Below are 26,278 nucleotides of genomic sequence, written 5' to 3' on the forward strand. Positions count from 1 at the left end.
CCGGAGCCCGGGACCGGAGTTGCGGAGCGGGGGCAGGCTGAGAGGCTCGGGTTGTGCCCCCCCCGCGGGAGGAGACTGTTCTTTGGGCACGGGGCGGGCCTCCGCTCGCTGGGCCGGCTCCGGACGCCGAGGAGGCCGCGGGCCCCCGCCTCCCCGGCAGCGCCAATGTGTGGCGCTTCGTGGGCGTGAAGCCGCCTCTTATCCTCCCTTCAAAACAAATTCCCGGCTGTTAGGAGATGCGGGAGAGGATTGAGTCCCTCGCGGATGTTGTGACTTTAATTTTGAGGTCCCTGTCGTAACTCCGAAGTAACGACGCGGGGCGGAGGATGGCAATGATAGCGACCAACGCGTCCCGAGCGCTGGTCACGAGCGGGTTTACACACGGAACGCGCACCATCTTCATACCACCCGAGGAGTGCAAACGCTATTTCCACCCTGCTTTATTTTTAACAGATGAGGAAAGGGAGACGCAATGGGGTTGAGTAACTTACCCTGGGTCACGGAGCGAGTGGCAGGGCTCCCGCAGGCTGCGTGACTGTCATTGCTCTCACAGTAGACGGTACACTCGCTTGTTTCATTAAAGACGTTAGGACTGTGCCTTTTGCATTGGTGTACGTTGACAAGCCAGTGCTATTTTGAATCGTTATTTCTACTAATGCAAACTTTTTAGAGATTGGAGATGTTACTGGCCCTTCGGTGTGAGTTTAAAGTGTCTTAAGGGCTAGTGGAAACATGGAATGAACAAAAAAGTACGGGTGGCCGACTGAGTCATTGTTTCTTTCCTTTATGTATTATATATTTAAGCAAAAATTAGATAAAACTTAAAACATGATACTTTTTTAACCATGTGTAAAAGTTTCCTTTCACAGTTCTCAGGTTAATAGTAAATGAAATTGTGTATGGATGAAGGCTTGAATTAAGGGAGGCAGCAAAAATTCAATAAACGTTTGCCATGTATCATTTAAGAAAAAGAACAGAACCTGGGCAACATAGAGAAACCCCGTCTCTACAAAAAAAGAAAATTAGCGGGGCGTGGTGGTGTGCGCCTGTGGTCCCAGCTACCCGGGAGGCTGTGTCAGGAGGATCGCTTGAGCCTGGGAGGTCGAGGCTGCAGTGAGCTGTGTTTGCACCACTGCACTCCAGCCTGGGCAACAGAGGGAGACCCTGTCTCAAAAAACAAAGAAAAAGAACAGGGCATAGTTAAATTTAATATTTTGTACTTGAAAGAGTAATTCGATTGAAAGAGAAATACTTTAGTATTTTTTGAGACAGGGTCTGGCCCTGTCACCCTGGCTAGAGTGCAGTGGCCCGATCTCGGCTCACTGCAACCTCCGCCTCCCAGGCTCCAGTGATCCTCCACCTCAGCCTCCCGAGTAGCTGTGACTACAGGCATGTGCCACCTAATTTTATTTTTTCTATTTCTTGTAGCCACCAGGGTCTCACTATTTTGCTTAGGCTGGTCTTGAAGGTCTGGGCTCAAGCGATTCTCTCACTTTGTCCTCCCAAAGTGTTGGGATTACAGGTATGAGCCACCACTCCCGGTGTAGAGAAATATGTTAATATATTTTCAGTTAGTGTTTACCTCGACAGCACATATAGTTTTAATGAATTCACATATTTTTATGGCATCCAGGGAGTTTCCTGAAATATTTTCCAGGATGATTAAACAAACAAAATATACCATTCTTTCAAAGTATTTTTGAGAAGTTTATCTCTGACATTAAATCTAGATTCTTACATGCATTAAATTATTCTTTATCAGTTTAACAATTTTGGTATGGCGATTCGAAAAACGCTTTCTCCACTAATGTAGCAGATATCAAAAGTTCTGGATTACAGGTGCTGAGAGTAGTGATACAGCTCAAACATACGTAAACGTTTGTCATTTATCTGGGGTTTATGCATTTGTAGATTGATCTGGATACTATTGATGTAAGCAACCTCAACAGACAGTTTTTGTTTCAAAAGAAACATGTTGGAAGATCAAAGGCACAGGTAACTATATTTCTCATACCATTTCTATAACTTGATGGAGCTTCTATTTGTGATACCAGATTAATCCTGCCTGTCATATAGGAGGGAAAAAATGGGTGAAGCTCTCATTTCAGCTGAGAGATTGTGAAGGATAAAGATATATCAAGTAAAGGACTAAAGATTAAGCCCTCCTTTTTTGTTCTAAAAAGGAAATAATCCCGTGATGGTGTAACTTTCATGGCCTCTTTATATTTAAGTTTCTGATGCTTTGCTTAGGATGCACCTTGTGTTCCTACACCCCCTAGAGGTTGACTACTGCTATGTTTGGGGGCTAGAGGAGCGTTATGCTGCTGTCCTAGTTGAAACAAGACAGTTCCCCCGATCTTTGTTTAGTTTTTTTAGTGTTCCTTGGTGATTCAGAGTCTTAAAACATCTTTTCCCTTTGCCTGTCTCCCAACCTGTTTGGCAAACCCCCACTTGTTTCTCTTTTTCTTTCATATTTTGGCTTCCTCCTCCAGGAGTACTTTCCTAAACCTTTTAGACTAAGTCAGGTTGGTTTTTCTCTCATAACAACCTTTACTTTACTTTTCCTATCATTTTCTTTTCTTTTTTTTTTTTTTTTTTTTTTTTAGAGATAGGGTCTCACTCTGTCGCCCCAGGCTGGAGTGGAGTGATGCGGTCATGGCTTACTGCAGCCTAGAACTCCTGGCCTCAAGGGATCCTCCTACACTGGCCTCCCAAGTGCTGGGATTACAGGCATGAGCCACCATGCCTGGCCTTTTCCTGTCATTCTCATGGCATTTATCAGAGTCTGTAGTTGAACTTAATCTGGATTGTTATTTGATTAATGTCTCTCTTGCTTGACATGTACGTTGTATAGTTCCTGGTACATGCAAGATGCTCAGTAAATACTTGTTAAGTGAATGAATGAATGACACTTGGTTACTTCATGTTGTATTTTTGCTGAAGCTTGCCATTCATGTAGAAGTGTGTTTGGTGGTACGTGGGTCAGGGGGGGCTCTCCGGTTATTTTATAAGTATAAAAGTATAATTTTATAAGTGTAGCTTAACCCTAATGCAATTTTCTCACATTTTTGGACTTCTTTGGTGTTTAATATAAATAAGGTACTATGTAAGTAGATAACAGCATTGTGGCTTCCAGAAGCAGATTTCAGATAGGAACAGAAATATTGTAGTAATTCAGTGTTGTTTATTTTTCCAGGTTGCCAAGGAAAGTGTACTGCAGTTTTACCCGAAAGCTAATATCGTTGCCTACCATGACAGCATCATGAAGTATGCTATAGTGATTACATTGCAAAGTTGTATAAGGGTTTTGTAAGCCAAATATATAAGCTCAAAGTCATTCAGCTTTTTTAAAAAAAATGATTTTTCTAGAATTATTAAACAGTGGTGGTTTCTGCTTACAGAGTGGCATTCTTTTTACCAGTTCATAAATACATGGTTTGAATGATTTAGAATGGTGAGATAGTTTAATACTTTTAATAAATAAGTTACTTGGAAATTTATAAAGACCTTATATGCTTGCCTTAAGTAAGAAGATATTTTAAACTATGAAATATCCTTATTTATGATGATTCAGACTTTTCTAAAGTGTTTGCCTTTTTTTGTTTAAAAGTTTCCCTCCCAAAATAATCTGTAGTATGACTCTGACTTCTGTAATATAACACTTGGAATTGTGGTAGGGCAGTAGTATTGACAGTACATAAATATATTTATCTCAGTAAAGATAGAGTAAATATATAATTTTGGAGGAGTTGGAGCAAAGGAACTGTGGGCCGAAATTGTCCTTTATCTATGGTGGTTTAGCTTGCAAGTAAATAGTGTTAAAAATAGTCCTTGTTTGAGGTACTGGAATTGAGGTACTTAACACTTTCTCAGGGCATTTGTATCTCCGGATTGTGTTTTTTTTGTGTGTGAGATAGGGTTTTGCGCTTATTGCCCAGGCTGGAGTACAGTGGCATGATCTTGGCTCACTGCAACCTCCGCCTCCTGGGTTCAAGCGATTCTCCTGTCTCAGCCTCCTGAGTAGTTGGGATTACAGGCGCACGCCACCACACTCAGCTAATTTTTGTATTTTAGTAGGCGGGGTTTCATCATGTTGGCCAGGCTGGTCTCAAACTCCCGACCTCAGGTGATCCACCCGCCTTGGCCTCCCAAAGTGCAGGGATTACAGGCGTGAGCCACTGCACCCGGCCTGTATCTCCGGCTTGTTTTTTAGTTTTTTACTCTGTGAACCTGCCTGTAGCCCTATAACCTCCTTACCCTGTGTTGCTTTCCCAGTGCTGCTAAAAACAGAGACCCTAGGGGCCTGAACCCTGCCTGATCCTGATCATGTGAGGTGAAGTCAGAGGCCAGGCAGATCCTGGGAATGTGTTCTTTATGCGTTCCCAGGCACTTGCTGCCCAAAGAAGGCCTAGTGGGACTAGTGAAGTCATGCCATCTTTCTGCCAGTTTGAGATCTTTCTCTTGTGCCCTAGCTGGCCAAAAAGGATAGGAATTTGAAGGAAATAATTTCTTTAAAATCTGCTTATGTTTGGAAAGAGTCAAACCTTACTATCTATATGACATATAATCCTGATATCAGTTTTGTTTACAGTTACTATGTTTTTTTCAGAACTGTTTATTATACTGCAAAGATCATGTGGAAGGCTAGTTATTTTGGTGACCTTTTTTTATTTTGTTTTGTAGCCCTGACTATAATGTGGAATTTTTCCGACAGTTTATACTGGTTATGAATGCTTTAGATAACAGAGGTGAGGTTATTTTAATACTTTTAATTTCTCAGTATTTCCTCTCTCCCATATCAAATTTGTTTACAAATTTAATATTTATTAGACTATTGTGATTTAGAACTTAAAAGACTTAAGAGAAATGATCGAGTTTAAAGCATGCCCATTGATTGCAGTTTTATATAGAAATGACTTATTCCAGGCGGGAATTTAGCTATCATATTCTCTGCATTTCTACCAAAAGGTATAAATAGAAGTGAAGTGAAAAGCTCTCAAAAAGTGTGACTGTGGCTCAGCACAGTGGCTCACGCCTGTAATCCCAGCACTTTGAGAGACCAAGGCAGGAGGATCACTTGAGGTCAGGAGTTCGAGACCAACCTAGTCAACATGGTGAAACCGTCTCTACCAAAAAACACAAAAATTAGCCGGTGTGGTGGCATGTGCCTGTAGTCCCAGCTTCTCCGGAGGCTGAGGTGGGAGAATCGCTTGAAGCCAGGAGGCAGAGGTTGCAGTGAGCCTAGATCACACCACTACACTCCAGCCTTGGTGACAGAGTGCGACCCTGTCTCAAAAAAAGAAAAAGTGTGACTGGAGGGTGGGGTGGGGGATGCTTGAGTGATATTCTTTGTCTGTAATTACTTCCACATGTAAAAGTATATCTACTAAGTGAGTTTACAACAAGTTGGGCCAGAAATATCTAAATAAAAAACACAAGGAAAAGTCAAAATTACGTTTATTTTTTAAGGCTTGGGGGGTCTCACTGTTGCCCAGACTAGAGTGCACTGGTGTGATCATAACTCACTGAAGCCTTCAAATGGGCTCAGGTGATACTCTTACCTCAACCTCTGCAGTAGCTACTCTGCAGACAGGTACCACCATACCCGGCTAATTTTTTTATGTTTATTTTTGTAGGGATGAAGTCTTGCTTTGTTGCCCAGGCTGGCCTCGAACTCCTGGCTTCAAGCAGTCCTCCCACCTCAGCCTCCCAGAATGCTGAGATTATGGGCATGAGCCAGTGCTCCTGGCGTGAAATTACTCTCTTAACCTGACTCATCTTTTTTCCCTAGCCTTAAACTACTTTAATAGTTCCAAGTTGATATTCCACATTCTGCCTTCATTTCTATCATGTATTATCTGCTAGTTATATTAGAATAGTGGTGAGTTTAGGAACACCTTGAAACAGTGTTTTGTGTAAGGTACAGCAATAGAAGAGAAATATGGCACGTTGGATTTTTAAGATTATGTGTTTCTGTGGGTACTTCTCCTGGAGTAAATTTGTGATATAAATTCTATTTGATATTTTGCTAAGTGAATGTCTCTTAAATGTCTGTAATTAACAGTTGTATTATTCTGGCCATAGCTATAAGAAAATTGTACAAAAAATGAAGCCAGTAAGATAGTTTTGAGTCTGTGTCATCCTAATTAAAGATAACTAATTTTTTTTTTCCCAAAAACTCATACTGTTTGTTTTACTTCCAGCTGCCCGAAACCATGTTAATAGAATGTGCCTGGCAGCTGATGTTCCTCTTATTGAAAGTGGAACAGCTGGGTATCTTGGACAAGTAACTACTATCAAAAAGGTAAAGAAAAGTTTTATTTTTTTAACTTCCCAAATATTTATTTGAGACCTTGGAGCAGGAGGAAATAAACTTTGTATTTATATAAAATGAACAGGTGAACATCCAAAATGTAAGGACTTTTATGCTTATATAAAACTTAAAATGCGGGGCCAGGTGCAGTGGCTCATACCTGTAATCCCAGCACTTCGGGAGGCCGAGGTGGGCGGATCACCTGAGGTCAGGAGTTTGAGACCAGCCTGGCAAGCATGGTGAAACCCCATCTCTACTAAAAATACAAAAATTAGCTGGACATGGTGGCCGGCGCCTGTAATCCCAGCTACTTGGGAGGCTGAGCCAGGCGAATCACTTGAACCTGAGAGGCAGAGGTTGCAGTAAGCTGAGATTGCACCACTGCCCTCCAGCCTGGGCTACAGATCAAGCCTCTGTCTCAAAAAACAAACTTAAAATGCTATAAACGTGCTCAAAAGACTATGGGCAAGGAAATCTTTCAGCTCTGCCATTTTGTTTCATTTGACTTTTGTATTAAAATCCTTAGAGTGGTAAGCATGATATACCAGGCATCAAAAATTTCTTTGTGTCGGCTGCGTGCAGTGGCTCATGCCTGTAATCCCAGCACTTTGGGAGGCTGAGGTAGGCAGATGACTTGAGGTCAGGAGTTCGAGACCAGCCTCTCCAATGTAGTGAAACCACGTCTCTACAAAAAATACAAAAATTAGCTGGGTGTGGAGGCGTGTACCTGTAATCCCAGCTAGTTGGGAGACTGAAGCATGAGAATTGCTTGAACCTCGGAGGTGGAGGTTACAGTGAGCCAAGATGGCACCACACTCCAGCCTGGGCAACAGAGTGAGACTCCATCTCAAAAAAAAAAAGCCAGGCGTGATGGCTCATGCCTGTAATCCCAGCACTTTTTGGGAACCCGAAGCGAGCGGATCACCTGAGGTCAGGATTTTGAGACCAGCCTGTCCAACATGGTGAAACCCTGTCTCTACTAAAAATACAAAAATCAGCGGGCGTGGTGGTGTGCACCTGTAATCCCAGCTACTTGGGAGGCTGAGGCAGGAGAATCCCTTGAACCGGGGAAGCGGAGGTTGCGGTGAGCTGAGATCACGCCATTGCACTCCAGCCTGGGCAACGAGCGAAACTCTGTCTCAAAAAAAAAAAAACCAAAAAATTCTGTTGTCTAAGAGTCTGGGCTTATAATGTGGAAGGGAACTTTGAAAACTTTTTAGGGGTGTATTTGTGAAGTACTTCAAACATTTAAATACAACTAGAGAATAATAGAACAAAATACCTGTGTGCTCATACCTCAGTTTTGTTTTGGTTTATTTATTTATTTGTTTATTTTTTTGAGACAGAATTTCGCTCTTGTTGCCCAGGCTGCAGTGCAGTGGCGCGATCTCAGCTCGCCGCAACCTCCGTCTCCCTGGTTCAAGCGATTCTCCTGCCTCAGTCTCCCGAGTAGCTGGGATTACAGGCGTGCGCCACCACGCCTGGCTAATTTTGTATTTTTAGTAGAGACGGGGTTTCTCTATGTTGGTCAGGCTGGTCTTCAACTCCTGACCTCAGGTGATCCACCTGCCTCGGCCTCCCAAAGTGCTGGGATTATAGGTGTGAGCCGCCATGCCTGGCACATATCTCAGTTTTTAAAACCTCAACACGGCTTCATTTGCTATTCAGATATTTTTTCTTTCAGTTCTTTTAAGAAGTTAAATATTGTAGTTACATTTGAAGAGTCGTTTTCCATGTTTTGAAACTATAGAAAGAGAATTATAATGTACTTAACATTTGCTGGTTGCGTCTAATTTTTTTTGGCAGCTTATTCATGTTAGAAATTGTGTCTTTGTTTCTTTTAACTGTTAAATGTTATTCTTGGAACCTTATTGAATACCATTCTACAAAAGACTGTTGTGTATGTCAGTGCGTATTAAGTTGTTGAATAAGTGGAGGCCTTCAGTATCTGTTGACAGATCAAGACGGAAGTTCTCTGTCTGCATTGCAGTATGAGTCTCATGACTGCTTGCCATGTGGCTACCCTCAAGAAAGCATATTGGAAGGCTGAGGGCATCAGAAATGGTGTTTCAGAGAAAACTCTAAATCTGCTGCAATTTATATTAAAACAGTATTTGAGAGTTTTGATTCTTGAACAATTAGCCTGGCTAATTTTTGCATTTTTGGTAGAGATGAGGTTTTGCCATGTTAGCCAGGCTGGTCTCAAACTCCTGACCTCAGGTGATCCGCCTGCCTTGGCCTCCCAAAGTGCTGGGATTACAGGTATGAGCCACCACGCCCGGCCAGACATTGCTTTTTATATCCTTGTTACTGTGATTCTGACACACCACTGTGTATTAAGACTGAAGGTGGCTGGGCATGGTGGCTTACGCCTGTAATCCCAGCACTTTGGGAGGCCAAGGCGGGCGGATCACCTGAGGTAAGGAGTTCGAGACCAGCCTGGCCAACATGGTGAAACCCCATCTCTACTAAAAATACAAAATTTAGCTGGGTGTGGTGGCACGCACCTGTAATCCCAGCTACTTGGGAGGCTGAGGCAAAAGAATCACTTGAACCCGGGAGGCAGAGGTTGTGGTGAGCCTAGATCACGCCATTGCACTCCAACCTGGGCAACGAGCGAAATTCCGTCTCAGACAAAAAGAAAAAAAGAAGAGACTGAGGTTAGGAATATCTGAGATAATGAAAGATGATTCATTTGATAGTTTTGAAAAGTTGTCTCAGGTGTCATGTACTTCTTCCAAGGCATAAATTCCTTAAATTGTAATTTTAAACTTGAATGTGTATCAATAAAATGGGCTGGGCGCAGTGGCTCACGCCTGTAATCCCAGCACTTTTGGGAAGCCAAGGCGGGCGAATCACATGAAGTCAGGAGTTCAAGACCAAGCTGGCCAACATGGAAAAACCCCGTCTCTACTAAAAATATGAAAATTAGCTGGGAGTGGTGGGAGATGCCTGTAATCCCAGCTCTTTGGGAGCCTGAGGCAGGAGAATTGCTTGAACCTGGGAGGCGGAGATTGCAGCCAAGATTATGCCACTGTACTCCAGCCAGGGTGACAGAGCAAGACTCCGTCTCCCCACCGCCAAAAAGAAACGTATATCAATAAAATGAAGAGTATTTGGTTTAGTAACACCTAAGATTTTTCTGTGTAGGGAGATATATCTTGAAATTAATCTTGTAGTTTACTTAATTTCAGGAGATTATAAGGATATGGCTGTATTCCCCAGACCCACTTAGTTTTGCTCAAAAAAAAAAAAAAAACACATATAAGAAAATGGCTGCGAATAATATTTAGATAACATTTACAACTTTGAGAAATAATTTCTTGGAAAGCTGCTGTTTGTCTTTCCAGTAGTTTTTCTGTTTAGTGTGATCAAGGTAAACTCATATTTGACACTCAGGTGTAGTAATTTTTATTTGGGCTTGTAAGTCATGTTCACTGAACCAGGAGTCGGCGTCCTGGCACAGCCTTAGCTATGACTGGTAGATTCAGTTAGCTTTTGTGTTAGTTTATCATAAAGTAAGCATTTTGGAGTCACTAATATTTTAAAATTTCCTTGACAACGTAAAACGTAGTTGGAATATAGATGAATGAAGTGTTTATATTACCTTATAATGTTGAGAAACTGCCATCATGGAGTAAATTTTTCTCATATCCTGACTTCATAGGGTGTGACCGAGTGTTATGAGTGTCATCCTAAGCCGACCCAGAGAACCTTTCCTGGCTGTACAATTCGTAACACACCTTCAGAACCTATACATTGCATCGTTTGGGCAAAGTACTTGTTCAAGTAAGAGTGTATATTTCTTGGCATGCTTTTCGGTACTGATGATGGAAAATGGAGTCATTTTTATTTAATTACCTTGAAGAGATTGAACTCAGGATGTTTAAATATGGTGAAGGGATGCTTTAGTAGCTTTCTTGCAGTATTTCTTAGGTTAAATGTAGCTGGCCGGGTGCGGTGGCTCACACCTGTAATCCCGGCACTTTGGGAAACTGAGGTGGTCGGATCACCTGAGCGCAGGAGTTTGAGACCAGCGTGGCCAGCATGGTGAAACACATCTCTACTAAAAATACAAAAATTAGTTGGCCGTGATGGCGAGTGCCTGTAATCCCAGCTACTCGGGAGGCTGAGGCAAGAGAATTGCTTGAACCCAGGAGGTGGAGGTTGGAGTGAGCCGAGATCGCGCCACTGCACTCCAGCTTGGCAACAGAGTGAGAATTTGTCTCAAAAAAAAAAAAAAAAAATGTGGCCATGACTGTTCAGGAAACTTAGTCTTATATTGGAGACAGCCATGTAACTAAGCGATAAAAATCTTTATATTTGGAAATGTGAACATTTACTTACAAATAACCCATTGGTTATAAAAGAAATCACAATGGAAGTTAAAAATACTCTGTACTGATAATGATGAAAATGCTATACCAGAATGTATTGAATGTGGTGGTTGGCAAAAAGTTACAGATTTACATACATGAAGAAAGGCTGAACATTAATTACTAAATCTTTACTAAGAATCCAATTTAAGTTAGAAAATGAACCACAGAATACACTTTAAGAAATGAGAATGGTGTGGGCATGGTGGCTCATGCCTCTAATCCCAGCACTGTGGGAGGGTGAGATGGGAGGATCCCTTGAGCCCAGGAGTTTGAGACCAGCCTGGGAAACATGGCAAAACCGTGTCTCTACAAAAAATAGAAAAATGAGCCAGGTGTACCTGTACTCCCAGCTACTTGGGAGGCCGAGGTAGGAGGATCAGTTGAGCCTGGGAGGTTGAGGCTGCAGTGAACCGAGATAGTGCCACTGCACTCCAGCCTGGGTGATAGTGAGATCCTGTCTTAAAATGAAGAAAGAAAGAAAAAAAGAATGAGAAGGAAGGATATTAATTGAAGTAAGAGCACATTTGATTACAAAATAGAAGAGGAGTAAGTGAGAACTAAACGGGGAATACAGATAGCAGAGATTAAATAGGCTATAAGAAAAAAAAGGGATGATAATAAGACCATGGTAGTACATAAAAAATTTAAATGATCTGGGTAAATACATTTTTAAAAACTTACTAAGTGCCCAGTGCGGTGGCTCAGGCCTGCAATCCCAGCACTTTGGGAGGCTGAGGTGGGTGGGTCACTTGAGGCCAGGAGTTTGAGAACAGCCTGGCCAACATGGCGAAACCCCGTCTCTACTATAAATACAAAAATTAACCAGGCGTGGTGGTGGGCATCTGTAGTCCCAGCTACTTGGGAGACTGAGCCATGAGAATCACTTGAACCCAGTGGGTGGAGATTGGGCCACTGCACTCCAGCCTGGGGGACAGCATGAGATGATGTTTCAAAAAAAAAAAAAAAATGAAAGGAAAATAGAATGCCTGAATTTAGCAGTATACCTTAGAGCAATGTAAGTAGTTTAAATTATTCTAAATAATGCACCGAACCTATGTTATTTTTACAGATTCATTTCACAAAACTTGCAAGGAGTATATTGTAATATTAGCTAAACTCTCCCTGAGAAATTTTTAAAAGGGAATACTACTTAGCTTGTGTTATTAGGCTAGCAATGTCTTTGATAGCAAAACCTGTCAAGGCCATTATGGCATAAGAAACAATTGCTAGTCAGTCTCACACCTAAATAATAGATGCAAAAATCCTATGTAAAATATTAGCATATCCTGGGAATGGGCGCAGTGTATCATGCCTGTAATCTCAGCACTTGGAAGCTGAAGCGGGTGGATCACCTGAGGTCAGGAGTTCAAGACCAACTTGGCCAATATGGCGAAATCCTGTCTCTATTAAAAATACAAAATTAGCCGGACATGGTGGTGGGCGCCTATAATCCCAGCTACTTGGGAGGCTGAGGCAGGAGAATTGCTTGAACCCGGGAGGTGGAGGCTGCAGTGAGCCGAGATCGCTCTGCTGCGCTCCAGCCTGGGCAACAGAGCAAGACTCCATCTCAAAAAAAAAAAAAAAAAAATTACCATATGGATCTAGAATCATATAAAATAAAAAGTGTGTCTTGACCACGTGTCTATTCAGGAATACAAGCATGGTTTAAACTAGAAAATCTGTAAATGTCATTCACTCATTAGGAAATTAAAGATAAACTATATAGTTTTCATAGATACAGAGAAAGCATTTGGTAAAATTTAGCAAATGGCCTTTCATGATGAAAGTTTCTACTAAAACAGAATAAAAACTTACTAGGCCGGGCGAGGTGGCTCACGCCTGTAATCCCAGCACTTTGGGAGGCTGAGGCGAGCGGATCACGAGGTCAGGAGATCGAGACCATCCTGGCTAACACGGTGAAACCCCATCTCTACTACAAATAAAAAAAATTAGCCGGATGTGGTGGTGGGTGCCTGTAGTCCCAGCTGCTCAGGAGGCTGAGGCAGGAGAATGGCGTGAACCCGGGAGGCGGAGGTTGCAGTGAGCTGAGATTGCACCACTGCACTCCAGCCTGGGCGACAGAGCGATACTCCGTCTCAAAAAAATAAAAAATAAATAAATAGATAAAATTAAAAATAAAAAAACTTCTTACTAAAATGAGAATGTTCTCAACCCGATAAAGGGTATTTTGTAGAAACCTTCAGCAAACATTGTCTTTAATTTTTGCACTCAGAAAAGTATACATAACAGTGTCAACTTGATAAATGTTCACAAAAACTACACTTGGAAGCTTTATTTATTTGGCAAACATTTTTTTTCTTTGGGAGGCTGAGGTGGGTGAATCACTTGAGGCCAGGAGTTTGAGAACTGCCTGGGCAACATGGCGAAACCCTGTCTCTACTAAAAATACAAAAATTAGTGGGGTGTGGTGGCACACGCCTGTAGTCCCACCTACTCGGGAGGCTGAGCCATGAGAGCCGCTTGAACCTGGGAGGCGGAGGTTGAAGTGAATGGAGATCATGCTACTGCACTCCAACCTGGGGGACAGAGCGAGACTGTGTCTCAGAAAAAGACAAAAAAAAAAAAAAGATAATGTGGCCAGGTGCAGTGACACACACCTGTAATCCCGGCTCTTTAGGAGGCCAAGGCAGGAGGATTGCTTGAGCCCAGCAGTTTGAGAGCAGTGTGGGCAACATAGTGAAACCCCATCACTACAAAAAATTTAAAAATTAGCAAGGCATGGTGGCACATGCCTGTGGTCCCAGCTACTTGGGAGGCTGAGGTGAGAGGATCACTTGAGCCTAGGAGGTCGAGGCTGCAGTGAGCTGTGATCACACCACTGCACACTAGCCTTGGGGACAGTAAGACCCTGTCACACACACAAAAAAGATAATCTGGCAAAATTAATATGAGCAGCATTTTTCACTCGAAGGGAAACCTAAATAAGCAATAAGCAAGTTATGTTTTAATCATAAGACTTACTTGGAAAATTAAGTATAAGACCATAGTAAGCTACAGATGCTTCTCAGATACTTCCCGATAAACTCATCATAAATAAAAAATACCATTAAGTAAAAAATGATGCTTTTTTTGTTGTTGTTTTTTTGAGATGGAGTTTCGCTCTTGTTGCCCAGGCTGGAGTGCAGTGCAACTGCAATCTCTGCCTCCTGGGTTCAAGCGATTCTCCTGCTCAGCCTCTCGAGTGGCTGGGATTACAGGCGTCTGCCACCACGCCCAGCTAATATTTGTATTTTAGTAGATACAGGGTTTCACCTTGTTGGCCAGGCTGGTCTCAAACTCCTGACTTCGGTTGATCCACCCGCCTCGGCCTCCCAAAGTGTTGGGATTACACATGTGAGCCACCACGCCCAGCCAAAAATGCATTTTAATATAACCTCAATAAACCTGTTGTAAAGGTGAAAAATCATTGGTGGACCATTTTAAATTAGCGGCTGTCTACTATTTTGCACTCACTAGTTGGCAAAGCGTTAATTTTAGGAAGTGTTAACATGCCATTGTTGGGAGTGACTATCAGAGCTTTGAAATTATAGTTGGGTGGGGGGTTGTACAAAGGATTTCTGTAAGATAACTTTCATTAATCATATACTTGAGGAAATACTGGAAACTTTTATATCCATGAGTTATTAAACAGTTTTTAGGATAACTTTATTAATAAAAGAGAATCTCAGCTTAATACTTTCAAATTGTTTGTTAACACTCTGTTCAGCAGTAAAGAGCCATTCTACCATGAAAAAAAGTTAATCTTGTTCATTGCTGAATTTCTATCCCCTAGATGGGGACTCTGCACCTGAGGTATATAATAATGTTTGTTGAACAGGTAGCTGCAGGTGTAAACACAAACATTATTCTGGTGTTAGAATGTTATCCAGGTTGTAAGTGAAAACCACTCACCTGTTTCTTGAGCAGAGGTTTTAACATTGAAATGTGCAGAGCCTCGCTGATAGGAATGGATGTAGGTCTGCTAAAATTTAACCTTGCTTACATTGCTGTTGAAATTGGGATGCAAGCTGTCCAAGCACATTGTGTTAAACTTTTAAGTTTATAGTCATTTATCCGTTATTCACTTTTTTTTTTTTTTTTTTGAGACGGAGTCTTGCTCTGTTGCCCAGGCCGGAGTGCAGTTGTGCAGTCTCGGCTCACTGCAACCTCCATCTCCTGGGTTCAAGCGATTCTCCTGCCTCAGCTTCCCGAGTAGCTGGGATTACAGGCGTGCGCTACCACGCCTGGCTAATTTTTATATTTTTGGTAGAGACGAGGTTTCACCATGTTGGTCAGGCTGGTCTCGAACTCCTGACTTTGTGATCTGCCTGCCTCAGCCTCCCAAAATGTTGGGATTAAAGGTGTGAGCCACTGCGCCCAGCCAGTTGTTCAGTCTTTATCTCTGCTAAATATTTGGAATATTCTAAATTACATGTTTGTTTAGAATGCTTTGTTATACAGAAGTATTTACTATTCTTAAATTATAGCCAGTTGTTTGGGGAAGAAGATGCTGATCAAGAAGTATCTCCTGACAGAGCTGACCCTGAAGCTGCCTGTGAGTAAATTATTTGGCATATGTTTTATCAGATACTATTATCTTTATTTTGTTGATTTAATTTTGGTAGCTTAAGGGAAAAAAATTGCTATATGTGCTAGGTAATGTGTGTTTAACATGTGTTTTTTTTTTGTTTTTTTTTTTTTTTTTTTTTTTTGTCTCAGAGGTGGAGTTTCTCTCTTATTGCCCAGGCTGGAGTACAATGGTATAATCTCGGCTCACTGCAACCTCCGCCTTCTGGGTTCAAATGATTCTCCTGCCTCAGGCTCCTGAGTAGCTGGGATTACAGGCACCTGCCACCGCGCCCAGCTAATTTTTGTATATTTAGTAGAGACAGGGTTTCACCATGTTAGCCAGGCTGGTCTCGAACTCTTGACCTGAGGTGATCCACCCGCCTTGGCCTCCCAAAGTGCTGGGACAGGCGTAAGCAACCGTGCCTATCCAAAACAATGTTTTACAAAAAAAATATGATTCCGTTTTACTGATGAGGAAATCAAGGTTAAGAGAAATTTCACAAGTCTAGTAAATAGAGCTGCGAGTTGTTCCTAGATCTCATGACTGGTCTGTGCTTTGAACTGTTATATGTGTAGCTTTCAGAAACTAAGTTACAACAGGCCAGGCAAGGTGGCTCACGCCCGTAGTCCCAGCATTTTGGGAGGCTGAAGCAGCTGGATTGCATGAGGTCAGGAGTTTGAGACCAGCCTGGCCAACATGGCAAAACCCTGTCTCTACAAAAAATATAAAAATTAGCCAGGCATGGTGGTGCATACCTGTAGTCCCAACTACTTGTGAGGTTGAGACGGGAAGATGGCTTGAGCCCAAGAGGTAGAAGCTACAGTGAGCCGAGATCTTAACACTGCACTCCAGCCTGGGCAACAGAGTGAGACTTTGTCTCCAAAAACAAGAAAGAAAGAAACTGGGATACAAAAAGATGCTGATGAATGTGTTATTTTCTTATTCCTTGAACTCAGAATGTGTTGCATTTGGGGATTTCCATGAGTGACTTTCTTTTTATTCCCAAAGGTGAGTGAAAAGAGTTCAGTTCTACATTTATTACGGTTGAAAATAAAATAATGATCGTTTTATAGGGGAACCAACGGAAGCCGAAGCCAGAGCTAGAGCATCTAATGAAGATGGTGACATTAAACGTATTTCTACTAAGGAATGGGCTAAATCAACTGGATATGATCCAGTTAAACTTTTTACCAAGGTTAGATTTACTTTTTTTATAATCATGGATAGATGTATTGTTGTGCATAGATGTATTGTTCTAGTTCTGCTTGTTTTAAAATAGTCCATAAAATTGAATTAAGCTTCTATGTATATGCCTTGTGATGTCCTAATAAAATGATTGATGCAGTCAGGATATGCAAGTTTTAAAATGTTACCATCTACACTAAATCTATCAGTATAACATCTAAATAGGAGGTAAAATGAGAGGTGGCTTGTATACCTTCTTGGTTGTCTTTCCTTCTCTCACTTTTTACAGAACTTCTTCGTTTTCCTGCTGCTTCTCATCTTCACTTTTTTTTTTTTTTTTTTTTTGAGATGGAGTCTCACTCTTGTCGCCCAGGCTGGAGTGCAGTGGCACGATCTCGGCTCACTGCAGCCCCGCCTCCTGGGTTCAAGTGATTCTCCTGCCTCAGCCTTCCGAGTAGCTGGGATTACAGGTGTGTACCATCAGGCCTGGCTAATTTTGTATTTTTAGTAGAAGCGGGGTCTCACCATGTTGGCCAGGTAGGTCATGAACTCCTGACTGCAAGTGATCTGCCCACCTTGGCTTCCCAAAGTGATGGGATTATAGGCGTGAGCCACTGCTCCTGGCTTCATGTTCACTTTTATTTCTTGCTCATATCTGCTATTAGCAGTTTGACTGACATGTGTCCTAAATTGCCCTTGAACCCCATAAGCCCCTTTTTCTTGGTGAAATCCCTCTTCATCAGTAGTATATACTATTTGCCTGTTAAATATTTCTAGAGAAATCTGTGAAATTGTTTTTATTGGGTCTACCTAATTATTGTTCATCTAGACCCGTAGGTCCGTGTTTTAAAAGTTTTTTTGTTCTGTCTTGACTCCCTAGCAAGTTGTACGTGTGTGGGGTTTTTTTGACTCTTTTTTTCCTTTTTGTGGAGAATGGGGTCTCACCATGTTGCCCAGGCAGATCTCAAACTCCTGGTTTCAAGTCTCAAACTCCTGGGTTCAAGCGATCCTCCAGCCTCTGCCTCCCTAAGTGCTGGGATTACAGGCATGAACCACTGAGCCTAGCCCCTAGCAAGTTTATCACAGAGCTTAAAACTTTCTCAGCTCTTATCAAACTGCCTCAGTATTCTTGCAACTCTCACTAAGCAGATGACCTTAAGGATATAATAACAGGTTTGAAACCATTGGACATAATTTACCTGTTGAGAGACTGTTCCACATAACCGAAAACTCTTTTTCTTTCTGCTGGAGAGAATCCACTTTCGGTAAAGGCTAACTTTTGCATGTGGTGTTTTGCTTTCCTTTTGTACCATTCTTCAGACAGGATTTTCGTCTCTGTCCTGTGTCTCGGATCTTTTTTTTCTTGGTTTCTTTTGTCTGCTTTCCAACACGCACAGGTTCTGCTGTCTTAATCAAATGACATACTGCTCTCCCCAGCTTGTATTTCGTCTTATTTCCTCAGTGGTAACAGATGTCACATGTTGACTTTTTTTTTTCTTTCTTTTTTTTTTTTTTTGAGAGAGAATCCTGCTCTGTCGCCCAGGCTAGAGTGCAGTGGCATGATCTCAGCTTGCTGCAACCTCTGCCTCCTGGTTCAGGCTATTCTCCTGCCTCAGCCTCCTGAGTAGCTGGGATTACAGGTCCGCCACTATGCCTGGCTAATTTTTGTATTTTTAGTAGATAGGGGGTTTCACCATATTGGCCAGGCTGGTCTCGAACTCCTACCTCAGGTGATCTGCCTGCCTCGGCCTCCCAAAGTGCTGGGATTACAGGCATGAGCCGTCGTGCCCAGCCCACAGGTTGACTTTCTTATCCCTATTGCATTTATTTCCTCACTACAGCCCTTTTCTAAAACATGGTTGTATTAGGGTTCTCTAGAGGGACAGAGCTAATAGGATAGATATATACAAAGGGGAGTTGATAGAGTATTAATTCACACGATCACAAGGCCCAACAATAGGCCCATCTGCAAGCTGAGGAGCAAGGAGAGCCAGTCTGAGTCTCAAAACTGGAGAATTTGGAGTCTGATGTTTGAGGGCAGGAAGCATCCAACATGGGAGAAAGATGTAGGCTGGGAGGCTAGGCCAGTCTAGTCTTTTCATGTTTTTCTGGCTGCTGTATATTCTGGCCTCAATGGCAGCTGATTAGATGGTGCCCACCCAGATTAAGAGAGGGTTTGCTTTTCCCAGTCCACTGACTCAAATATTAATGTCTTTTGGCAACACCCTCACACACACACCCAAGACCAGTACTTTGCATCTTTCAATCCAATCAAGTTGACACTCAGTATTAAGCATCATAATGGTTTTTATTTTGATTATACTTAAGATGCCGTAAACTTCGATATGGTCAACAGCAGTATCTTCCAAACCAGTATCCTTATTTCCATTCCAATCTGAGCAAGACTTGAAAGCCAGAAAAATCTGAAGTGCATCTCCAATCTGTTATTTAGCAGATAATTTTAAACATCTGCTGTGTGCCAGACACCTCTTTAAGTACAGGGGATTTAGTTGTGAACAAGACAGAAGACAGAGTCCTTGCTCTTTAGAGGGAGTTCACAGTCTAGATGAGAAGTCAAACTTTGAACAATAAATTTCAGCTTCAGAGTCTTAATGACATTAAGTTCAGATGCTTTGCAGCCCTTGAATAATAAGTTTCATCTAAAGGACTCATCTCCTGGCCTGCATACCCATTTCAGATGTTGTTAGGGAGAGGCTTCAGAAGAGGCTTTCTAGAGCAGGTGACATTTAAGCCCAAGGCTTGAAAGAATAAGAGTCAGAATAGGGTACAGTATGTACAAGGAAACTCTGAATAGGGTACAGTATGTACAAGGAAACTCTCAGTTGGAAAACTGACATAAATCCCATTAAGGGGGAGAGTGGAAAAAGATGACTGGAGAGAGAAGTTGAGGTCAGATCAGGCAGACTTTCTAGGCCTTCTTAAGGATGTTATAGCAAGACAGTGGGAATCCATTGAAAGGTGGTCTTACAGGATCACTATAAGGGGATAGAGGGGATGCACATACTACCCTAGGATCTGATATTCATATTATAACCAATCTGGGACAGTGCCCCTGGAGTTGTGCAGTGCCAGAATAATCTGGAGTACAGCCATCTGTACTCCCACTGGAACATGGAGGAGTAGACTAAACAGGACTTTGCATGTATATGGTGAAGATCAGTGGAATAAAAAATGGTACCTGGCTGGGCACTGTGGCTTACACTTGTAATCCTAGCACTTTGGAAGGCTGAGGCGGGAGGATCACTTGAGGCCAGGAGCACAAGACCAGCCTGGGCAATATAGCAAGACCCCATCTCTAAAAACGAAAAAAAAATAGCCAGCCATGGTGGCCTGAGCCTGCGGTCCCCAGCTACTCAGGAGGCTGGGACAGGAATATCACTTGAGCCCAAGAGGTTGAGACTTCAGTGAGCTATGGTCACACCACTGCACTTCAGCCTGGGCAGGTCAAAGAACAGAGGTGCTGTTCTCCGATATAAGTGAGCTGGGAGGCAGATGTGTGTAGAGGGGTTGGGGGAGGGTAGGAGAAGGTGATAATAATCAATTTTGAACTCATTTGAGATTCTTTTGGAACATTAGAGAAGTGGTTTTGTAGATAAGTAGAGAGGTTTCAACTAGGGATATGGTTGGGATTCCTAGGTTTATAGATGTGGTTAACTACTGGAAATGGACATGATACACCACAGAGGACAGAATGAAAAGATGGTTCAGTACAGAAATCTGAGGGGCTCCTGATATTTAGTAATAGTTGAATAGAAGAGATGGAGCTTAGGCTTAGAAAACTGTTGGTTCAAGCCTTCAAGATCCTCTACAAAATGTTTCCAGCCACATTTGTTACCCAAGTCATAGTGGATTCATCTCCTTGCCTTTGTACCCATTTCACATGTTGCTGTCATAAGGAGACTCTTTCCTTATTTCTTAGATAAAATATAAATCTTTTTTTTTTTTTTTTTTTTTTTGAGACTGAGTCTCACTCTGTTGCCAGGCTGGAGTGCAGTGGTGCGATCTCAGCTGACTGCACTCTCCGCCTCCCAGGTTCAAGCGATTCTCCTGCCTCAGCCTCCCGAGTAGCTGGGATTACAGGCACGCGCCACGACGCCCAGCTGATTTTTGTATTTTTAGTAGAGATGGGGTTTCACCATGTTGGCCAGGATGGTCTCGATCTCTTGACTTCGTGATCCACCTACCTTGGTCTCCCAAAGTGCTGGATTACAGGTGTGAGCCACCACGCCTGGCCAGAAATCCTTACTCAAGGCTTTGTGATATTCACACTAAATTGTATTCTGATTATTTGTATGTTTGGCTTATTCTCTATAAAGATTAAGGATGCTCAGTTAGTATTGATGGATTAAGTATATTTTGATAGAAATGGCTGTGATTTTTAAATATAGCCAAATTTCTGTTCTTACCTGGTACCAGCAATAAATGTGTTGAATAAATTAATCAACAATAGAAAATGCAGATAAGGAAAAAGAAAAAAATATTAAAATCACTTGAAGTTCTAACACATCTTTTCATATGATAGTTTCTCAATCTACTTGTAATGTTTTTGTTTTTGTAATAATTGTGTGGGGGTTTTTACATTTTATTTTTGTTCATGTTTCTGTGGGTTATTTTTGGAGGGGAGGGCACATTTTAAAGATATCGCAGTTCAGAAGTTCTGTTGTGAAGCACTTTAGTTTAAAAATCTGTATACTTTGTGTGCATGTCCCCATGAGCTTGGAGGCATTGCTGACTGGCATCCCTAGGCTCAGTGATTGTCTGTAGTTGTACATTTATTTACAACTACATAATGTACATTTATTTGTATGATTGTGCTTCAGACTGATCTTTGGAGCTAAATTTAGGGAAGCTTTTGGAGAGGTGACTTAGGAAGGCAGGGGCAGTCGGCAGTTCAGGGCTCCTTTACTCTGCATTCCTCAGAGCACTTCTGCATTTCGCTGTTTTCAATGTAGAGATTCTGTTAGAACTTCCTTTTACAAATGTTTTTCCTTTTGAAAATTGTTATGCTGCTGGTATATGACATGTATCTTTAAATCAGATTTCATAGTGTAATATAGATCAGCAATGACGTTTTCTTGTATCTTATCAATTAGGGATTATGGGGTTCATGGGATCTGTCTTTCTTTTGTAAGCTTTTTAAAGATGACATCAGGTATCTGTTGACAATGGACAAACTATGGCGGAAAAGGAAACCTCCAGTTCCGTTGGACTGGGCTGAAGTACAAAGTCAAGGTAAAGAATACATTTTAGTCTTGGAACACCTAAGCTGGAAATATCCTCGCGTAAAGTCTTTGTATAGCCCTGTTGTTGCTTGAAAATGATATGTCTTCATATATTCAAACAGTGCAAAAAAATATGAAGAACAAAAGTCACTGAAGTCCCACACTTCAGAAATAGCCACTAATAACATTTTCAGGAGTGTTCTGGTGGTCCGCCCTATGTACACAGATGCAGGCATTCGTTATACACTGCGTAAATGGAATCATACTATTGATAAACTCTCACTTGCTTTTGTCAGTCAGTATAGTTAACTAGTCTCTTATTAACATGTAGTGTTTTTGTATTTTCCCTGAAATAAAGTTTTGAAATTGCTATATATTTATGTATATCTTTTTTTTTTTTTTTTTTTTTTTTGAGACCGTGTCTCGCTCTGTTGCCAAGGCTGGAGCGCAGTGGCACGATCTCAGCTCACCGCAACCTGGGTTCAAGCGATTCTCCCGCCTCAGCCTCCCGAGTAGCTGGGATAACAGGTGTGAGCCACTGCGCCTAGCCTATTTATGTACACCTTTGTACCCTTGTGATTATCTCTTTAAGATTTAATCTAGAAACACATTTTTAATGTAAAATTTTTTTAATGTTTAGAAATGAAAAGTTTTTTGAGGCATAGTCTTGCTATGTTGCCCAGATTAGAGTGCAGTGGCTGTTCACAGGCTGTCATAGCACAAGGCATCCCTGGACTCCTGGGCTCAAGCCATCCTCCTCCCTCAGTCTCCTGAGTAGCTGGGACTGTATGCAACTGTGCCCAGCATATTTTAAAATTTTAAATGTAGGAAAACTATTGTAGTGGCTGCTTTCTCATCCCACTCCCCTTTAACACTCCTTGTCTCTCCTTTATCTGAACTGTATTAGGATTAATTTATGCACAGCAGTATAGCACCCATTGAAACTTAAAAGATCCCGGGAGACTTGGGATATCATTTTGGAGCAGTTCTCAACAATCAGGGATAGTTATCAAACAGATTTAATTATGACTCTAGTAGTGTCCGCTTACTGAGTTCTCATTCTCACTAGGTGCTGGGCCTAATGCTTATTTATCATCTTATCTACATTATATCTTCAAATCTCCCAGTAATCCTATGAGGTACTGAGGTGGTCTTGTACCTTTCCTATCTCAGGTTTAACAGTTTTTTTTTTTTTTTTTTTTTTTTTTTTTGAGACAGAGTCTTGCTCTGTCGCCCAGGCTGGAGTGCAGTGGCGCGATCTTGGCTCACTGCAAGCTCCGCCTCCCGGGTTCGCGCCATTCTCCTGCCTCAGCCTCCTGAGTAGCTGGGACTACAGGCGCCCGCCACCATGCCTGCATATTTTTTGTATTTTTAGTAGAGACGGGGTTTCACCATGTTAGCCAGGATGGTCTCGATCTCCTGACCTCATGATCCGTCTGCCTCGGCCTCCCAAAGTGCTGGGATTACAGGCGTGAGCCACCGTGCCTGGCCCCATGATAATTATTTTAATGGAATTTATTTCATATTTGATTTCTTAATGGTCGGGGATTGAACTTGTTAAACAGAGCACAGTAGAGGAATGATGTTAATTAGTGAAATTTCTAATATATATATTTTTTTCTTTAGGAGAAGAAACGAATGCATCAGATCAACAGAATGAACCCCAGTTAGGCCTGAAAGACCAGCAGGTTCTAGATGTAAAGAGCTATGCACGTCTTTTTTCAAAGAGCATCGAGACTTTGAGAGTTCATTTAGCAGAAAAGGGGGATGGAGCTGAGCTCATATGGGATAAGGTTCGTTTTGACAATGTGTGGCAAGTACTTACATGTCAAAAGTGTGTTTTAGTTCTTGAGATGTAATAGAAGCTAGTCATTTTTTGAATATTTACTAGATTTTGAGGAAATATATTGATTTGGCTTGGATATTTTCAGCTCTAATTGCTGTATGGAGCTGAATTTTCTGTACATGAATTCAAGCAATATCATAAAACTTCATTTGGGATTCTAGTGATGTGTTCAGGGTTTATAATTATGTTGACTAGAAAAATAACGTGAATATATTAAAGTGAAATGTTTCTTGTGTAGAGTAGATGTATTCATAGAAGTCATAAAATCATTTGGAGAAAACATCTCATTGGCCTGATTTGCCCTTGAAAATAGTAAGATTGTCTTTGAATTGAAATAGTTATTACTATTTCAGAGGTCTGAAAGACAGAGCTCTTGATACAAAAATGAGATGTAATTATTCTTAGAAGTTAAAATCATATTTAATAGTACTCTGCAGTTATGTCATCTTTTGAGATTTGATATTATGAACTAATTTTACTTAATTTTAATTGTAATCAGTATTTTCTATGGCTAAAAGTGTTTTATCTCATGAAGCTTGTATGTTCCTGTGGTGTTGAAGATTAGTCATGGGTCTTAAGGCATAAAGGCCAATTTTAGAAACCTAAGAAAAATTTGTGTGTACATATTTTGAAACTTTGGTTGAATCAGACATCTAAATACACTAAAATGAAGCTAGTATATTTAGATTCTTGGGATTCTTATAAACATTAGTCTCTTGGGTTTTGTGATATTTAAAGGGTAACTTTTCATATTTTCATTGTTATTGTTATGCTAGTGATTTGGGAAGTTTGATTAGTGCACAGAGGCTAAATAAAGAGCCCTTGGAATGGGAATTGTTATCCTCTTGAGTAAAGTCCACATGTAATGGGTGTGATAAGACAGCTGCTTAGGGAAGACACTGTGTTGAGTATTCAGTATTCTTAGTCCTCACCACACCTTATGAGATGGGGATATAATTTCCCCTATTTAATAGATTAAGAGATTTTGACTCAAGGAATTTGACTTGCCTGAGGATTCACAGCCAGCCAATAAATACATAAAGAACTATGCTCTCAGTATTTTTTCTTCTGTTCTGTGATGCCTCTGAATTTTAGACCAGGGTGATATCTTCTCAGTTCAAAGCAGGAAGCCTTGCTGAAATCTAGAGACTAGGATATAGTCTCAGGAAAAATACAAATCGTAACAGGAAAAACTTGGATTGTATTGCCTTATTTGAAGAAACAGCATATGTGAGAGAGTGGTGCATATGAAGAGAGTTTGGCAAAGGGGAGTGAAAAAGAGTCATCCAGGTTTTTCTGAAGTGTTAATGAAACAGCTTTTTTTTTTTTTTTTTTTTAATTGAGACAGGGTCTCACTCTGTCACCAAGGCTGGAGTGCAGTGGCATGATCTTGGCTTACTGCAGCCTCTGCGTCCCGGGTTCAAGTGATCCCGCCACCTCAGGCTCCCGAGTACCTGGGACGACTTTAGGTGTGCGCCACCATGCCTGGCTAATTTTTTGTGTTTTTGGTGGAGATGGGGTTTTGCCACGTTGCCCGGGCTGGTCACAAACTCCTGAGCTCAGGCAATCTGCTTGCCTCAACCTACTAAATTGCTTGAGACTACAGGCATGAGCCACCATGCCCAGCCTAAAACAGTTTTCTTAAATTGCTCGTCTTTTGGCCTGGATTCTGTGTTTGTCCAGCAACCTTCTCTTTACTGATGAATGGAACCAGGAAAGGGTTGCCATTGTCAGTGAGTGGAATTGAGATTCCGGTGTATACAACTGAGTCTCCGGTGCCTTTGTTTAGGCTGGAGTGAGTTCCTAGAAGCTGGTGATTCTTGGTGTTCTTGTCAGACTCATTACTGGACCAGAGGAGCTGATGATGAGACCCCACCCCCTACTTAACCCACCTCCATGCTACTGTGAGGTCCTAGCTGACTGGTCTTTCCCTCAGCAACCTCTTGTTCTAGTCGAAAGTCTATAGTATTATAAACACGTGAAAGTATTGTTCTGAAAGTAATGCTTCAAAATAGTCAATTTGTGGAGAAACTTGTTAAATTGTTTAAATTATTGGCAGGATGACCCATCTGCAATGGATTTTGTCACCTCTGCTGCAAACCTCAGGATGCATATTTTCAGTATGAATATGAAGAGTAGATTTGATATCAAATGTAAGTTATTTGTACTAAAGTTGTATCACTAAAACCTTGAAGTTGTTTTTTAAACAGTGAAACATACTCATCCTTTTTTTTTTTTCCCAGCAATGGCAGGGAACATTATTCCTGCTATTGCTACTACTAATGCAGTAATTGCTGGGTTGATAGTATTGGAAGGATTGAAGATTTTATCAGGAAAAATAGACCAGTGCAGAACAGTGAGTATTTCTGTTTGCATTTTTATGCAACCCCCCTTAAAAAAATCATTAATTAAAAGTACATTAAACAGATAATTTTTAAAATGAAAACAATAAAATTGGTTTAAAGCAATGGAAAAGTAATTTTTCTGGTTACCAAGTGAGTGTGTGTTTAAGCTTCCTGGAAATTGCAACAAAAAGGAAAAATTAAGAAGTTGCTTTTGCTTTTAACATTTCCAATTTTACTGAATTCTTCGAAGAATTCATTGTGCGGTCCTTATACTAAGAAGATGTTTCAACTGTTTTTCAATTCTGAGAGTGCTATATGGGTTTTAAAATTTGCTTGGTCATTTTATAGTCCCCTGTTCAGTCATTCTCCTATTGAGTCATTCTTTTCAATTTTATTG

General features: G+C 41.4%; 1 protein-coding gene across 7 annotated transcripts in view, besides 3 other annotated features; it reads left to right on the plus strand.

Annotated features, from left to right (window-relative positions):
- Positions 1-26,278, plus strand: part of UBA2 (ubiquitin like modifier activating enzyme 2) — a 42,871-nt gene that overhangs the window by 284 nt on the left and 16,309 nt on the right. For 3 of the 7 annotated variants that reach the window (NM_005499.3, XM_024451305.2, XM_047438020.1), the window contains exons 2-12: positions 1,912-1,995; positions 3,197-3,267; positions 4,684-4,748; positions 6,204-6,304; positions 9,981-10,102; positions 15,180-15,247; positions 16,336-16,457; positions 21,601-21,700; positions 23,317-23,483; positions 25,596-25,689; positions 25,780-25,892. In NM_005499.3, coding sequence (NP_005490.1) covers positions 1,912-1,995; positions 3,197-3,267; positions 4,684-4,748; positions 6,204-6,304; positions 9,981-10,102; positions 15,180-15,247; positions 16,336-16,457; positions 21,601-21,700; positions 23,317-23,483; positions 25,596-25,689; positions 25,780-25,892 — 1,107 coding nt within the window. Of the gene's footprint in view, positions 1-1,428; positions 1,523-1,911; positions 1,996-3,196; positions 3,268-4,683; positions 4,749-6,203; positions 6,305-9,980; positions 10,103-15,179; positions 15,248-16,335; positions 16,458-21,600; positions 21,701-23,316; positions 23,484-25,595; positions 25,690-25,779; positions 25,893-26,278 lie in introns of all 7 variants that reach the window. The other 4 variants (NM_001411139.1, XM_011526304.3, XM_006722962.3 and 1 more) reach the window with 2 other exon arrangements.
- Positions 55-214: a silencer, noted in NCBI's record as "silent region_10504". NCBI's record gives its function as "represses an Ori minimal core promoter by ATAC-STARR-seq in GM12878 lymphoblastoid cells {active_cell/tissue: GM12878}" and the evidence as "EXISTENCE:reporter gene assay evidence [ECO:0000049][PMID:35858748]".
- Positions 8,997-9,154: a silencer, noted in NCBI's record as "fragment chr19:34928566-34928723 (GRCh37/hg19 assembly coordinates)". NCBI's record gives its function as "represses an EF-1alpha promoter that drives an FKBP-Casp9 reporter gene in an ReSE screen in HepG2 liver carcinoma cells {active_cell/tissue: HepG2}" and the evidence as "EXISTENCE:reporter gene assay evidence [ECO:0000049][PMID:32094911]".
- Positions 24,327-24,527: a silencer, noted in NCBI's record as "peak3443 fragment used in MPRA reporter construct". NCBI's record gives its function as "represses an SCP1 promoter by STARR-seq MPRAs in K562 erythroleukemia cells {active_cell/tissue: K562}" and the evidence as "EXISTENCE:reporter gene assay evidence [ECO:0000049][PMID:32103011]".

Source organism: Homo sapiens, chromosome 19, assembly GCF_000001405.40.
Source record: "Homo sapiens chromosome 19, GRCh38.p14 Primary Assembly".
Lineage (NCBI taxonomy): Eukaryota > Metazoa > Chordata > Mammalia > Primates > Hominidae > Homo > Homo sapiens.